General features: G+C 38.6%; 1 protein-coding gene and 1 non-coding gene across 7 annotated transcripts in view; both read right to left on the reverse strand.

The window, feature by feature from the left end:
• KCNIP4 (potassium voltage-gated channel interacting protein 4) overlaps positions 1-18,087 on the reverse strand; it is a 1,220,167-nt gene that overhangs the window by 727,493 nt on the left and 474,587 nt on the right. The window lies entirely within an intron of this gene.
• On the reverse strand, positions 8,602-8,660 carry MIR7978 (microRNA 7978). Its single transcript, NR_107018.1, has one exon. It is a non-coding gene; the product is annotated as a microRNA 7978 (primary transcript).

The following is an 18,087-nucleotide window of genomic DNA, read 5'->3' on the forward strand; positions in this document are numbered from 1 at the left end:
TGGCTGAAGAATTTCTTCTATGTCTTCTCTGGGCAAAGCATTTGCTGAGCACTTGATATGGTATTACCTTCAAAGAAACTCTGCCAGTTACAGGGACATTAAGTAATTTCCCCAAATCCATACAGCAAAAATAAGGGCAGAGCAAGCCATCTGCCCTGAAATTCCTTGCCCTTTCCAGTTCACCAAATTGCATCTTTGAAGTCGGATCAAGATTTGCGTACATATCCTACCAGTCTAAGCACGTTTGAATGATGGCACATTGTCTCACTATATTGAGGCAACTCTTCCTTGCTTGGCTGTTACTCATAATTAGGAATACAGTTACATCTTTCACTTTGGTCCAATTTTTATCATATCAATGTACTACCCACCTATATATTTTCTTAATTTATATTTCTTTAAATCAACTTATTTTTTATGTCTGGCCCTAGTAATTATATCCATAAAGTCCAAGACGTAGTGAACTTATTTCATAATTTATAAGATGAATTACAATAAATATGTAAACATTTTAAAATGCATGTCTTAAGGAAATGTTTGAATCAACATCTAAGAAAAATTGGTTTGCCCAGTAAGTCGCGTATTTGTGGGGTCAGCTAGCCTGATCCAGCCTTTACAGCTCCATGTAGATTTGCTCTTCTTGACTATTGCTGGGTGGTCCCCACTGTTCTCACATAGCCAAATAAGTTATTCCATTACAAAATTATAACTAATTTTTTACAGAATGAATTATAGATTAGGGTGCTCTGCATGAATTTGCAGATTCCCAAAGATCTCAAGATGTGTCAAGAACTCCAAGGGATCTTTCACTTCGTATTTCACCGCCGGGTCACCCTGGGCTCCAGGCTATCTTGAGCTGTTTTCACATCTTCTCTGATGGAACATTTTAAATGAGGCAAATTCTGAATCTGAAAATCTTTGGTGGCCTTTGCACATATCCTCTTCAGTTGTGGAAAAAAAACATATCCATTGTATCTGACTTTTCCTTTTTCACTCTCCTTCCATTTTACTGTCTGCTTCATTGAGGAAATCTTTCATTTAGTGGAGTCTAGATTTCTTCCTTTGCTACCATCTTCATTTCCCACCAAATAAATCAGGTCTCAGCTTATGATCATTTGTCATCTGCTGCTTCTTCTCCGGGACCGCCCCTAACAGCCTAGCAGAGCTCTGGGCTGTATTCCATGATCTCTTTTAATTCCTTGTTGGCGGCTTGCTGGCCCTTTCTCTTTACCTTCCTGCCAGGTTTAATGCCTTTTAGCGTGCCAGCTCTGTTTTTCACAATTTTTCCAAAATGAGGTGGAAAATCAAATCTCTAGCTCCTAATTCTCAGTGGGCAATATTTTCAGAGAATCCTTCAACATCATTCACTCTCTCAATTCCTCATCTTCTGAGCTTCTCCATCCATAAAACAATCAGAAATGTCTTCCTCTTAATAACATAGCTCTTCTGGTATTGGGGAGTGGTGGGACTAGAAAAGAGTAGAGGTGTAAGCAATGCAATATGAGTTCATTCATGCAAATAAAAATCACACTCCCTGGACAGAATCCCTCTTTCCCGCAGATCTATCTCTTCTAGAGAGTATGGACAGATGGAAGAAGTGAGGGTATGCAGAGCTGGCGTATGGCAGTCCCAGAACAGGGTCACTATCAAAAAGCAAATGCCAACCATGTGATATATAGGACTGCTGGGAATGTAGTCCATCATTGCTCTATGGTAAAAAAGAATACCTTCTCTAACATGACATTCTCTGAACCACATATAGACATACACACATACAAAAATAATCTCTAATCATGACCATCAGTTTTTGCCTGACTGTCTCAGCATCCTGTTAGCTACGTTCCTGCCCTCCATCTTATTCCCTGTGAATCCATCTTTTATACTGATGACATGGTAACACTTTTTTTTTTATACTTTAAGTTTTAGGGTACACGTGCTCATTGCGCAGGTTAGTTACATATGTATACATGTGCCATGCTGGTGCGCTGCACCCACTAACTCGTCATCTAGCATTAGGTATATCTCCCAATGCTATCCCTCCCCCCTCCCCCCACCCTACCACAGTCCCCAGAGTGTGATATTCCCCTTCCTGTGTCCATGTGATCTCATTGTTCAATTCCCACCTATGAGTGAGAATATGCGGTGTTTGGTTGTTTGTTCTTGCGATAGTTTACTGAGAATGATGATTTCCAATTTCATCCATGTCCCTACAAAGGACAGGAACTCATCATATTTTATGGCTGCATAGTATTCCATGGTGTATATGTGCCACATTTTCTTAATCCAGTCTATCATTGTTGGACATTTGGGTTGGTTCCAAGTCTTTGCTATTGTGAATAATGCTGCAATAAACATACGTGTGCATGTGTCTTTTATGATGTAAACTGAACCATGTCAATGTCCCACCGAATAGCTCCCACCTATGACTGAAATCAGTGAGCACTTCACAAAGAGTTTTGGATGGTTGGCAAGAGGTATAGTAGGAAAAGTAGTAGTGTGCTTAAATCACACAGCCATGATGACAGGTCTCACATTAACTTCCTGATCGCTAACCTAAAAAAGCCCTCAATGCTGCCTGGCTATCTGACTACTTTACTTTAGACTTTTCATTCCCCTATTCTCACAGCCAACTGATTCTTGTTGTTTCTCACCTCCAATTTCTTACACCTGTCCCATCCTCATTCTCAGCTTAAAACTTGCTGTGAAAATAGAAGCAATCAGAAGAGAACTTCCTCTAGCTTCTACCACTAGAGATTTTCATGTACCTGTATCTAAACTCATACACCCCTCTTGTTTCTCTTAATATGGACTAACTGAACCCTTTTCTGGGAAAGACCCATTCTTCACCTGTGCACAAGACTACATCCCCTTTCACCTGCTCTAAGCTCCAGCTCTCCTCTTATTTCCCCTACGTTATCACTGTTTTTAATCAATATATAAAAACAGCATTATCTTTTAACCATCATCATCATTATCATCATCAAAACCTCACTTTTCTCATTTTCCCTCCAGCTACTGTTTCAAACTTCTCAAAAGAGTTTCTATGGCCACTCTCTTCAATTCCTTTACTCCAAATTACTTTTGAACATGATTCAATCTGGCTTTCACCTTTGTACTCATAAAAATGGCTCTCTTTAAAGTCATCAACAACTTCTCAGTCCAGATCTTACCTAACCAGTGGCAGCATTTGATAAGGTTGAAGGATCCCTCCTGGAAACACGTTCTGAATTTGGTTTCCATGACATTAAACTGTATTAGTTTTCCTATTTCTTCCCTTGTTTTTCTTCCTGTCTCCCTTGCTCTTCCTCCTCAACCCTATAAGCTCTTAATGAAGCAGTACCCCAGGGACTACATTTAGACTTTCCAGTTTGTCTGCACTCACACTCTCACTGGTTTTACCCAGTCTCATGGCTTTATGATTAACACTGACAGCTCCCAAAAGTATAGCTCCTCTTAGGACCTCTCTCCTGCCCTCCAGACTCATACATCCAATTGCCTGCTTGGCAACTCTGTTGGGTATCTCAAACTTGTCAGGTTCAAAACAGAGCTCCCGATATTTCTTACTCCCAAATATGCTCCTTCTTTACTCTCCCCCCATTTCAGGACAGGTGAAGTCTTATAATTAGTGAGGTCAAAAATGTTAGTATCATGATTGTCTTTTCTTTTCTCATGCTTCACATCTGATCTATGAGCCAGTTCTGTCAGGACTACCTTAGTAGTTTTCAGCATATTCAGAATCCAACCACTTTCACCATCACCATTGCCTCTGTGCTGCTCTGAGCCTTGTTCATCTCAAGCTTAAATTATTGCAATATCTTTCCAGGTGGTCTCCCTGGAAAGTCACAACCTTGTAATCTCCTCTCTACACAAGGGCCACAGTGATCCTGTGCAAACGCAAATTGGATGATATCACTCCTCTGGTCCAATCTTCTCATGTCTTTCAGTCTCAGAGTAAAAGCCACGATCTTGCAAAAACCTACAAGGCCTTGCAAAATCTGCCCCCCGCCCCCCATCTCTTGTGTTTTATTTTCTTTCCTATTGCTCTTTCCTCCATTCATTCTGTTCCAGCTCTTTGCACAGTTCCAAGCATCCTGCGGCCTTGGGGCATTCACAAAATTGCTTGCTCTATCTTATCATTCCCCCAATCCCTTACCCATCCCATATATTCATGGTTTTTCTCTCACCTTTAAATTTTACCCAAATGTCATCTTCTCAGTGCAATTTTATTTAATTGCAGCTCTCCCTGTTGGACCCCTTCTTGCTCCACATTTGCTTGTCTCCATTGCACTTACCACTGCCTACTTGACTCTTGTCTTAGCTCAGATTGCCATACCGAAATACCATAGACTGCATGGCTTAAACAACAGGAATTTATTTCTCATAGTTCTGGATGTTGGGAAGATCATGATATGGACTGATTCAGTTCACCCTTATGGGCTCTATTCCTGACTTACAGTCAGCCTTCTTTTTGCTACGTTCTAACATGGCAGAGAGAGAGAATGCTCTGGCCTCTCTTCCTCTTCTTATAAAGATGTTAATCCCATTATGGGAGTCCCAACTTCATGACCTCATTTAATTACCTAATTACCATCCAAAGTCCCCACCTCCAAGTACCATTCCATTGCAAATTAGGGCATTTTTACTGCAAAATTTCTCAGTAACTTTAGAGAATGTCATGTATGCATCTCCTGGGGGAGGTCTGGGCAGATAAAATTCCCAATGTTTCACACATACATTTGACCACTGGGTTGTCAGGGAATCTTTTGGGATGTATCCTTTAGACCCCTGCTAGTCATGATGTGGTTTGTGGACCAGTGCAGGTTCACAAATTATTTATTGATTGTCTGCAATAAGAGAAATACAGAAACGGAGAGTCAATATTTAGAAAACGCTATAACAAATTGACAATGCTGCCAAGAATAGTCATATGGTTTGGCTCTGTGTCTGCACCCAAATCTCACCTCAAATTGTAATTCTGACATGTCAAATGAGGGGCCTGCTGGGAGGTGAATGAATCATGGAGGTGGTCTCTAATGGTTTAGCACCATTGCCCTAGTGCTGTGTCCTGAGTTCTCATGAGATCTGGCTGTTTAAAAGTGTTCAGCATTCCCTGTGTCTCGCTCTCTCTCCACTGCTCCACCATGGGAAGATGTGCCTTGCTTCTCCTTCACCTTCTGCCATGATTGTAAGTTTCCTGAGGCCTCCCCAGCCATGCAAACTGTGAGTCAATTAAACCCATTTTCTTCTTAAATTACCCAGTCTCGGGTAGTTCTTTAAAGCAGTGCGAAAATGGACTAATACAAATATGAACAGTAGCTTGTGAAGTTTTTTTTTTTCACACTTCATTTTTCTAGTAATTCATCTTTATTGTGTTTTACAAAAGTATCAGTTCATGGCAGATTTAAAGTAATAAGAAGAAAAATCTTTCACTTACTGCAGATAATTTGGGAAGCACCTCCTCCAGGCAGATTTTAGGAAATATTGGTTAAATTCCAAAGGTAGAAAAAAATCTCTTGTAAGTCCAGTCTCTAGACTTTTTCCTAACATTCCCAGCTGCACCTTGTATGCCAACTGAGTCAACTTGCTCCTCTAAGCCCTACGTGTGTCCGGGCTGTTCATCTGCTTGCCATGTCTTTCCTGCCTCACATGCCTGATGCACATTTTATCCTTCAGAATTTGGTTAAGAGGTTAATGGTGCTAGAAAGAGTCCCCAGATTCCTCTCCATAAACTTGATGACCTCACTTTACCTCCACGACTTTCTGGTAATCTTATCCTCAAATCAGTGCTCCACTGTTGTTTTTGTTTAGATTTTATTTTTAATTGACACAAAATAATTGTTCATATTTATAAAGTACAATGTTTCAATATATGTATATAATGCATGATGATCAAATTAGAGTAATTAGAATATCTATCACCTCAATCACTTATCATTTCTTTGTGGTAAGACCATTCAAAATCCTTTATTCTAGCTGTTTTGAAATAAACAATACATTCTTATTAACTATAATCACCCTACTGTGCAATAGAACACCAGATCTTATTCCTTCTAAGTAACCGTAACTTTCTCCCCATGAACCATTTTCTACCCATTCCCCTTCCCCCATGTATTTGTGTGTTTTCACCCTGCTGATAAAGATATACCCAAGACTGGGAAATTTACAAAAGAAAAAGGTTTAATTGGACTTACAGTTCCTCATTGCTGGGGAAGCCTCACAATCACTGCGGAAGGCAAGGGGGAGCAAGTCACGTCTTACGTGGATGGCGGCAGGCAAAGAGCTTCTGCAGGAAAACTCCCTCTTATAATAACCATCAGATCTCATGAGACTTACTCACTATCACCAGAGAAGAATGGGAAAGACCTGCCCCCATGATTCAATTACCTCCCACCTGGTCCCTCCCACAACACACGGGAATTCAAGATAAGATTTTGGTGGGTACACAGCCAAACCATATCATCAACTACTCTTCCCAGCCCATGGTAGCCACTATTCAATTCTCTACATCAGTGAGATCAACGACTTTAGATTCTGCATATGAGTGAGATTATGCAGTATTTGTCTTTCTGTGTTAGGTTTATTTCAGTTAACATAATGTCTTCCAGGTTCATTTATATTGTCACAAATGATATAGGATTTTATTCTTTATGGCTAAATAGTATTCCATTGTGTGTGTGTGTGTGTGTGTGTGTGTGTGTGTGTGTGTGTATGTGTGTCTATGTGTGTTTGTATACCATATATATGCCACATTTTATTTATTCATTTATTTATTCATTTTATTTATCCATTTATTTATTCATTTTATTTATCCATAAATGTTAATGAACATTTAGGTTGATTCCATAACTTGACTATTGTGAATAGTGTTGCAACAAACATGAGAGTGAGACATCTCCTTGACATACTGATTTCATTTCCTTTGGATATATATCCAGCAGTGGGATTGCTGGATCATAAGGTAGTCCCAGTTTTAATTTTTTGAGAAATCTCCATATTGTTTTTCATAATGGCTAAACTAATTTACATTCTCACCAACAGTATTTAAGGGTACCCTTTTCTCCACATCCTTCCCAACACTTGTTATCTTTTGTATTTTTGATAGAAGTCATTCTAACTGGAGTAAGGTAATACCTCATTGTGTTTTGATTTGCATTTCCATGATGATTAGTGATGTTAAATATTTTTTTCATATACCTCTTTGTCATTTGAATGTCTTTTTTTGAGAAATGTCTAGTCAGGTCTTTCGCCTATTTTTAAACCAGATTATTTGTGTTTTTGTGATTGAGTTGTTTGAGTTCTCTTTTCTCTCCAACTTCATACCTCATCCCTGGGCAACCATTAATCTAGTTTCTGTCTCTATAGATTTCTGTATTCTGGACATTCATATAAATGGAATCATAAAAGATGTGGTCTTTTGTGTTTGGTTTCTTTCACTTAGTATAATATTTTTCAAGGTTCAACAATGTTGTAGCATGTATTCGTACTTTATTCCTTTTTATTGCCAGTGTTTGCTAGTATTTTATTGAGAAATTTTGTGTCTACATTTATAAGAGATACTGCTCTCTAGTTTTCTTTTCTTGTGCTGTTTTTACCTGGTTTTGGCATAAGGATAATGCTAGCTCCTAGAATGGGTTTGGAAATATTCCTTTGTCTTCTCTTTTTTGAAAGAGTTTGTAAAGAATTATTACTAATTCTTCTTTAAATGTTTAATCGAATTCACCAGCAAAGCCATCTGGAATTGGGCTTTAAGTTGTGGGAAATGTTTTCGTTTGAAATTAAATCATTTTACTTGTAATAAGTTTATTCAGATTTTCTATTTCACTTTGAATCAATGGTGGTTGTTTCTGGTTGTCTTTCTAGAAATTTGTCATGTCATCTAAGCTACCTAATTTGTTGGCACACAAATGTTCACAGCATTCCTATATGATCCTTTTTTATTTCTGTAAGGTTGGTAGTGATGTCTCCACTCCCATTTTTGATTTTATCAACTTATACCTTCTTTCCTTTCTTCTTCAGTCTAGCTAAAATTTTGTCAATTTTAATTTTTTTCTTAAAGAACCAATTAGAATTGATTGATTTTTTGTTTTTCTATTTCCTATTTTATTTATTTCTGTTCTAATATTTACTATTTTCTTCCTTCTGATTGTTTTGCATTTAGTTTGCTCTTCTTTTTATAGTTTTTTAAGTTGTCAGGTTAGATTATTGACTTGAGATGTTATTATATAGACATTTGTAGTTATAAATTTCTCTGTAAGTACTGTGTAAGCTACATTCTATAATTTTTCGTATGTTTTATCTTCATTTTCATTTCTCTCATAGCATTTTCTAATCTTTCTGGCATTTTTCAGACCATTGATTACTCAAGAGTGTGTTGCTTAATTTCCACATAATTGTGAATTTCTAAATTTCCTTCTGTTACTGATTTCTCATTTCATTCCACTGTGGTTGGAGACCATACTTTGTATAATTTTTTAAAAATTTATTCAGACTTGTTTTATGCCCTAGCATATAATCTATCCTGGGGAATGTTCCATATGTACTTGAAAAGAGTATATATTCTGCTGTTTTTTTCTATCACGCCTAGTTGGTGTCTATCACATCTATTTGGTGTATACTGTTGTTCAAAGAAATAGAGGACTTGAGCAACGCTATACACCAGATAGACCTGACAGACATTTACACAATGTTCCATACCAAAGCAGCAGAAATACTTGACTAGTTGTTCAGAATTTATTTTTAATTTTAATAAATATATTTCAATGCATCCATCTCACTTACTCATTTCTCATAAAAGTAATATGAGTAACACCCCTCTACGACCATGGAAAAAGTGGCTATTTTTGATTCCTCTGATTCAATAGATCACTGTAGAACATGAAGTCACCAAATATTCTTGTGTAAGAGCTCTCTGAAAATTAATCTTGACAGGATTGTTGGGGGATTACTGGCACAGGTGTAGACTGCCAGGCTGTCTCTCCTGCTTTGCACATAGCCTTTTTTGAGTATAAATAGAAGAAGAACATTACTGCTTTCTGCTATTTCAGGAAAGAACACACCCATTTATTTAGTCATTCATAAGCACTGAGTTGAATGCCTACTGTAAGACAAGCCCTAAGAGTACTTATAGTAAACATACACTTGATTCTACTATGACATAAAATCCAGAATCTGATGGCCAATCCTACTGACAGCAGCTAAGAGTAAGAACTTGACATGCTCAGCAGGTACATAAGATATACTTTCCAGATCAATGCTGGATTATGAATGCTTTCTGTCCACAGGATTCTCTACATGCTCCTTTCCTTACCTCCATCAATTTCTGATGTGGGCAAGAAGGATTGTTGTACCCAATAACTGAGTCTACAAACTCAACTCTCTTCATTATGTCTAGGGCAATGCCCAGTGTCCTAAGACCACCAGTTGCAACCTCCTACAATAACCCCATTACATTGGCTAATTTTGTTGATATATCTGAATACATACATATCTGACTATAAAACATGACTCTGAAACTTACTAGATATTGGACATTGACTTGTTCGCCTAACTTCTCCAAGCTTTCTCAGTCTTTTAATTTGGAGACCAGGCATGAAAAATATTTATTTCACAGAATTGTAGTGAGGGTTAAATATTTAAGATAAGGTACCTGACACATAGTGGGCACTCTCCAAGAGTGGTAGCTTAAAACATGCAAATAACAATTCTTGGCTCCTTATTCTGTGCTCTGGACTTACATGTGAGTTCTCAGCTAGGAGTTAAGGCTCATTCTGAAACTAAGCTAGTGACCTGGTCCTTCATGTGCTCCAGCACCTGCAAACAACGTGTATACTCTTCCCTGGAGCAAGAACACCAAAGAAGTGAGGTGGAGTGCTTCCTTCTTTTAGTCCTCTAGTTGTCAGCTGGAATACTGACTGCTATGAATGAACTGACCACCTGGTACTATGCTTCTGGTGGTCATTATCATCCAGCCCTTACAACACACAAGTTCACTATGCTCTACCCACTACCCCTAGAGATCAGGATCATTGTCCTCAGGCCTGTCCTGCCTAGTTCTTTTGCTTCCTCCTTTTCCCATTTGTTCAGGGTATTAAAATCCCAAAACCCTGCAAGACTCTGCCCAGTCAAATTATGAACACTAAACACCGAACTCCAAAGTCTAACCCACAATGTTTATAGTATGCTGTGGATACATCTGACTTATATTAAGACACTTCAGGGAACTTATGTGACTCAACACTCAATGCTGACCAAGATGGCCCCCTAATCTAGGCCAGATGGCAAACTGATCATTAACTTCATTCTGATGGACTTGTTTTCCCCAAAATGAGCTGTTATAATTAATCCTCTGTTATCTGGCATTTTATCAACAAATATCATTCATTAACTAACATTTTCCCTGCCAGTTCAACTACAATTAATTATCACAATGATAAGCTGTGGCACTAAGGGATTCTGAAATCATCTCAGGATTCAGAGAGTGACAGAAAGAGAATAAGAGAGAGAATGAGAGACAGCAAGAGAGAGAGGTCAAATCATGCTCAGTAGAATTTTAATATTAAGGGTATAAAGCATTGCTTCTGCAGTGTCCTGGAAACCCCATCCCATTTATACAAATGCCCCAGATAACGTCTCCTAATGGGGCTGTCATGTAATATATAGAAAATCAACATACTTTAGAGTTGGCTGAATTTCTTCAGCAAGCATGGCCTCATCCCCACCCTACAATCGCAGTACCCCATCCCTGGCATAGGTCAAGTCCATAGAGGTGAAGCAAATCTATCTAATCCTGGCAGAGACAATATATCACTCAGTATCATTGTATTTACCATCCTACACTTTAAAAGAAAACAAACTCCTTACCCTGATCCTACAGCTTTTCAGAATGATTAAAAATCTTTTCTGAAATATGTCATGGCCAGAATCTCAATGAAAAAAATGTGACAAACCAAAACCAAACCAAACCAAACCAAAACAAACACACACACACACACACACACACACACACACACACACACACACAAAACAGAACATAATAAAACAAACTGGATACAACAACTTTTCTTCTGGGTTTTGGAATTAATTTTTACTTCTTAAGGATTGTTAACTTCAGCAATGGGATGAGTGCCCCATTTGGTACATGGTAGGCATTGAAGGCATTTTGGTTTGTTTGTATAACAAGAGTTAATAAAAAAATGTAGGTTTCCTGCAGCCAACTTCCAAAAATATATAATAAATATTTGAATGATACGTGTTTCCAAGTTGGAAGCGGTCTGTTTTTCTGGATTTGAGTCTGTTGTAGGAGCTACACGCAGCCTGCCTCATTGCTCACAACACTACACCACAACTGTGTGGTTGACGCTGGAACTGTGGCAATGGAGCCACTTGAGGGCTACGGGGTTAGGCAGAGTAAATGAACCGGCCTCAAAACCAAGGCCGTCTCCCTCTGCAAAAAGATAAAAGGAAGGAAGCAACAAAAGGTGGATATCTTCATAAAAACATTCTCAGATAGAGCATCTCATGTAATTCACAGCAGACACGCCAAGACATGATAAGATTCTTGTTATTGGGATTTTAATGATCCCAGAGTCCTGCTGCGTCAGTGTCCTGTCATATCAGCTCTGTGGCTTTTGGAAAAAAAGAGCATGGTGTTTTCTGAAAGTCGGAAGGCCATTGTGACTCATTTCTGAGACTCTCTCCCACTTAGGTATATCAAATAGGTATGCTGCTTTGATCAGGTTAAATTTTTAAAGCCCAAGGGCACTGAGGATGTGGCCATGTTAATAATGCAGAGCCGCAAAAACTTTAGGAAATATCCTGTTATCCCATCAGTGTGGGCAGCAAGCCTTGGGTAGCACCAGCAAACCCTGAGAGATCCTGCCAGATGGAAAGCTGGCACTGATGGGAACAAATTCTGCCCCAGAGGATCTTCTTTGAGAGTAACCCTTAGGGCAAATGGATCACTCTGCAAAAAGCTTACTGGAGAAATATAGGGGTAGGTAATCACATGTTTGATTTCTTGCAATCCAGGTTCCAAGCTCAAGAAAACCTATTCCCAGATATAAAGTCAAAAAGAGAGAATAAAGCCAAAAACTAGGATGAAGGAGAATGATCACATAGTTACTAAAAGAATTAAAATGTACAAGGAAAGACAATAAACATCAGAAAGGAAGAAGAAGAGAATAAATGTGTGAAAAAGACCTGAGATCAGGCCCTTGATTAGCAGGGAGAAAAGAATCTGAACAAGGCAAGTAAGGGAACCCCTACTGCAAGGTACTGCCTCGGTACCGGAGCACAGCAGGCAAGAAAGACTGCTCGCAATCTCCAAAGAAAACATTTCAGAACAAGAGAAAATGAGGTAAGTTGTGCTTTCATCGCTTGCATTACGCGGCGGACCCAAGTTCGCTTGAATGGTAAACGAGCGATGATTTGTAATAAACGGTTTAGGCTGTGGGGTTGGCTCTTCAGTCCTAACACAGTCCCACTCTCTGGGGACGAGTCATACTAGTGGCCACATGCCTTATAGGATTTGGTGTCACCCAGAGAAAGAGAAAAAAATCTAAGACAAGCATCTCTCATTGTCACTATTAATAGGAACTTAGAGACTGATTTTTGGATCACTTGCTCTTAAACTGTATTCAGATGTTGTGAAACTGGCTGGCTGACAAATCTAATCAAATTAACTCCACCTTAAAGCAAAACCCTGTTTCGCTTTTTTGCTAGCGCACTTTTTTAATTATTCAAGCAAAACAGCTTTCTTATTCAATTTGAAATCTGTATTTGTGCACAAGTTTGTCTCACATTGCTCAACATCATCTATTAACTGTTTACACACAGCAGTGATTCTCCAAAACTATTTTTGATCTTCTAAACACATATTTAAAACACATACAAACAGAAGAAAACACTCTGAAATAAAATACACTTTATTCTATTATATTATTATATACACTATTTTATTTATTTATGTTATTATTATTTTTCTTTGAGACAGGGTCTCACTCTGTCTCCCAGGCTGGGATGAAGTGGTGCAATCGTGTCTCACTATAGCCTTAACCTCCTAGGCTCAAGTGCTCCTCCCATCTCAGCCTCCCAAGTAGCTGGGACTACAAGCACGTGCCACCATGCCTGGCTATTTTCTTCCCCCACCATATTACCCAGGTTTGTCTCAAACTCCTGGGCTCCAGTGATCTGCCAGCCTTGGCCTCCCAACATGTTAGGATTATAGGTATGAGCCACCGCACCTGGCCAATATACATTATTTTTATCATAACCAATCCTCCCTTTTTAAAATTTCCTCTGAGACTTCTTCCCAAGTTAATCATCAATTACTACAGAGTAAATTTTTTCAAGGGGAAAAAAGTCCTTCTATTTCAAATATACTATGAAATAATATCTTCATCTTAAAAACATGATTACAAGCATCTTTTAAAATATTATCCTTTCCTTTCAATGAAAACGTTTTGTACAAATAACTTGGGAAACAAAAATGCTTTTCCTGGTCAAGTAGGGATTTTTTTCAGACAGCTCCTCTGCTGCCCTCTAAAGTTCAAGAAAAACATAACAGCTCTACTTTGCAGACAGCATTTTTTTTCCACTGAAATACCAGGATTCTCTAAACTTCAAAGATAATTGGACTCATTAGTCTCTGCTCTCAATACAGTGTGGCCAGGCACGTCTGCTCAAAGTGTACATGTGATAATACCGAAATTAAAAAAAAGCTTAAAGGGCAGGTGTTGATGGTATTTTTAATGCCATTGCTACTAAATGTGTCCCTATGATTCATGTGTTACTACACAACATAATCATGTAAATAGCCAGAATTTTATGTTTGGAAAATAATCCATAACTTTTGGGATGTTCATAATTTGTGTTTTGCGCTTTTCTGTTAACTACGCCACAATTGTGGCCGAAATATAATAAAAATGAGGACAGTAGGCATAATATTGGGACTGTCTGCTAAGAAATAATACATAAAGCTATGACTCAGAAAGTGATGTATGTTGCTTCCTGAACTCACCCACTTTAATGACAGAGCCAGGGCCTTGACATCGGGACAGATTATTAGAACGTGAAGGTTGGTACTGCCGGTTCAGAGAAAGGAGGCAAGAGATTAGCAAAAAGCAGGCTGTATAATGACTAGTCTGGAGTGGAGAAGGGAGGGAGATTAGCTCCTTTCTGTTCTTTATGTTAGGGACAAGGCAGAGAGCAAAAGAAGAAAAGAGGAAAGGAGAAAGGGAAGAAAGGAAAGAGAGAAGCAAGAGGCAGGGAAGAAAATGCAATATAGAATATTCATTGAGCCTCTTCTTTGAACTAAGTACTTTAACTTGTTCACAATAATCTTGTAACATGCTACTCTCTGTTCTACAGATGAGAAAATTGAACTTCAGGAAAAATAGATAATGTGGTTTAGTTGTACAGGTTGTGTACAGTGCAGCCAAGTGCAGAAAGGAAAGGCAAATGCACTAGACATTGCTTCCTCTGCACTTCTCTATGCTTTAACCAAATAACCTTCTGAGTTCCAGCTAGGGAGCTGGCAGGAGAGATGAAGAAGCATATGAAAAAATAAAGAGAGGCACACAGTCACAGACAAGAAGGAGGATTAAGGGTAATTACAACCCCAAAGAGCTTGTGGTGACTCACTAAAAAGCCACAGGGAGAAGCAGTTAGTTACAAGAGAATTCTTGGCCAAACGCCCAATTCAAGGGCCAGCTGTTGATAATTTAACAAAAAAAAAAAAGTCCTCTTTGAAAACCTAAAATCATTAGAGAAGTACTTTTCACTTCAGCTCTGCATCAGCAGTTAGTTTGGATCAGCAGCCAGGATGGGGCATTAATGCTTTAGGTAGAGGGGGTCTCAAAATATGGCTCTTGGATCAGCAGCATCAGCATCTTCTAGGGATTGGTATAAACATAAATTCTCAATGCTCTCCCTACCTCCAGGCTCACAAAATAGGCATATCTAGGGGTGGGGTCTAGAAATCTCTGTTTTAACAAGGCTTGCAGGAGATTGTGGTGCATGCTTAAATTTGAGAACTAGGTTTGTATAAGTCCTTTAATTTGTTTGGCAAGTACTCTCTGTGGCTTTTACTATCAAGGCAAGTTTGAGAAGTTCTGTTTTTAGGAATTGAGGAAAAACTTTTGCCCTAGGCCCACTGAAAAATGCTTCCTTCCTCTGGAGAAAGCGATAGTAATTCAGATTCTCTTCCCTCATTTCAGCTGTGGATTCATTGAAATTAGGGCAGTAGAGTACTAATTCCCAGAGTCCTAATAAATTTGACTTCCTACTTCTGGGTGGAGGAACAGAATTGGGAGAGTTGCAGAAGCTAGGGAATTAAGAGAATAATAATTAGCAAATTTTATCGGAATCTTTATCTCTGTATTTCAGTTCTAGAAATTGAGTATTTTATATATTTTATCATGATTATATAAATGGAGCTAAATGAGTTTCCTGAAATTTACATTTTATGCACAGAAAACAGGCTCTGCCAATATTTATATGTTCTAGTTCCTATAGATTGTAGAGAAAGGGGAATGAGACAGTAAACAATGGGCTTAATTTCCTTTTCAACAGGGCTTCATAATTCAGTATCAATCTTGTGGAACAGATATTCCCATTTCACAGGTGAGGAAACTGAGTCTTCTCTGGCTACCTACTCAGCTATGGGCAAGATTCAAAAAGAATTCCTCCATCCCTGGATTTTAAATTCAAATGAGAGGACCTATGGTATCCCTTTGGGGTCAGAAAATACATCATACTTTATTTTATGTCCCTAATAATATCTGGTAAAACATCTGACAAACCATTTAATCGATTTCTAAATAAAAATATTCTTCTTTCTTTTTATTGGTTGCATTTGGAGAAAGAAAACAAATACTTCATGAACTGAAATGTATCTGCATCTTTTCTTGGCATGAATTCACTTTCTACTTTGTATCATCACAAAGATGACAATGTCCCATGTGGCAGAGGTGCCTTGAAGTTAACCAGAAATTCCTGAAGCTTTTTCCATAATGTAGAGTTGTTGCTGGGAATGGCTGCCCAGTCAGGGACTACATTCCTAGGCATCTTTCCTAGGGATCTATAACAAATTCTTGTTAATGGAATGAGAGTAGACACAATGTGTGTCACATTTAGGGTGGAGCAGATAAGAAGCAAGCATTACCTCCATTTCCCAATCCACTGAGTGCAGAGGACCCCGAGATCGTAGGAGATGGTAGAGCAAATAGGGGGATAGAACCTGGAATCCTGAACCATGAGAGAGAGGAAAGTCTCCAGTCCCCCCAGAGTGCTCACAACATGAGTGAGAAAACCAATTTCATTATGTTAATTGGCTGAAATGTGTGTGTGGGGGGGTTAATATTACTACAACTATCATTACCTTAATCAGTGCATTTCATTTCTTCTCTTAGATTATCATGTTTTATGTTAGATGATGAGGTTTTTGAGGGTAGTTTCCATGTTTGGAAAAATATGGATTATATAGCTGAATCAGGAGCTGGGTTTTTCACTCATGAGTTTTGAGGAAACTGGTGTTTTTTCTTCCCCTTGGCTTCTCTTCAAGGAGATACTGATTACAATAAGTTGACTATTTGAAACGCAGTTCAGGTTATCGGTAAAATCTAGGCTATGCAGTCAGCTAGATCTGTATTCAATCCTTGGTTTTTCTCTAATTAAATGTATGAACATACTCAAACTGCCCAGTTTTTCTCCTCTTCTGCAAAATGAGTGTTAAAAATCCCTATATTCTAAGATTATTATGAAGATGAGAGTTAATATTTATAAATGCCTAGTATAGTGCCTGGCTCATAGCTAGCATTAGCCACTGGTGGTAGACTTCTAAAAATATGTCCTCTACTTTTCAGGAGAGAAATATACTATGTCAAAGCCATCAGGTTTGGTCATGTGATTTAACTTGGTCAACAACGTGTAAGCAGAAAAGATGTGTCACTTGCAAGTTGAACCTGATCTCTTTCTTTCTGACATGATGATTGGCAACGTTTCGTTAGAAATTGCTCCATTATACTGGATATCGAAATGAAGATGACTTGGAGCAAAGCCACAATTACCCTACAATAGGGCAAATGTTACTTTTGCTGCTGTAAGACATTAGGATTTGGGGACCATTTGTTACTGCAGCATAACCCAACTTTTCTGAAAAATACATAAAATATATATTTCTCAGTCAGGGAATACGGGGAAATCCTTTAAACTGTCAAATTCTCTATCGGGAACTGGGGCATCTAGCCCTTTCCCTGTCCCTCCCACCTTGCCTCCTAAGAATGACTAATAATAAAAACAGCATAGGCTTTGTCCTTGCTCCCCTTCCTGGAGAGGCTGTAAAACTCTACAAAATACAGAAAATGAAATATTTTCTGATGGTAAAAGAGTTTTTTTAAAAAATCTGAAGACAGAATCAGATCTCCATGCTGTCCTTTGGGAGTTCAGATTTTAGAAAAAGAAATTGGAGCTTTACATACATTTAACATACATCATTTAATTAGAGTATATATCTTCAGTGAGCACAAGAAAACTTTAGATAAGAGTTTCATACTTTGTAGTGAAGCAAAGTTAGTATTGGAGAAGTCTTGTGGGGAGCAACACAGAAGACTGAGAATTCTTTTTTTTTTTTTTTTAAGACAGAGTCTTACTCTGTTGCCTGGGCTGAAGTGCAGTGGCGCAGTCGTGGCTTACTGGAACTTATGACTCCTGGGTTCAAGCGATTCTCCTGCCTCAGCCTCCCCAAGAGCTGAGACTACAGACAGGTGCCACTATGCCTGGCTAATTTTTGTATTTTTAGTAGGGATCAGGTTCCACCATGTTGGCCAGGCTGTCCTCAAACTCCTGACCTCAGATGATTCACCCGCCTCAGCCTCCCAAAGTGCTGACATTACAGGCGTGAGCCACCACTCCCGGCCCAGGCAACTTAACAGAGCTGAATTCTTAACAGGGCTGAGAATTTTTAACAGGGCTGTGGAGTAACAGAACTTGATGGAAAATTGGCATCTGTGTAGAATGATTCTAAAGCTTTCAGACAAATGGCAGAATCCTAGGGTAAAAATATCACCTTTATTTTCTTTCATGAACTCT

This window comes from Homo sapiens, chromosome 4, assembly GCF_000001405.40.
Source record: "Homo sapiens chromosome 4, GRCh38.p14 Primary Assembly".
Taxonomy (NCBI): Eukaryota; Metazoa; Chordata; class Mammalia; order Primates; family Hominidae; genus Homo; species Homo sapiens.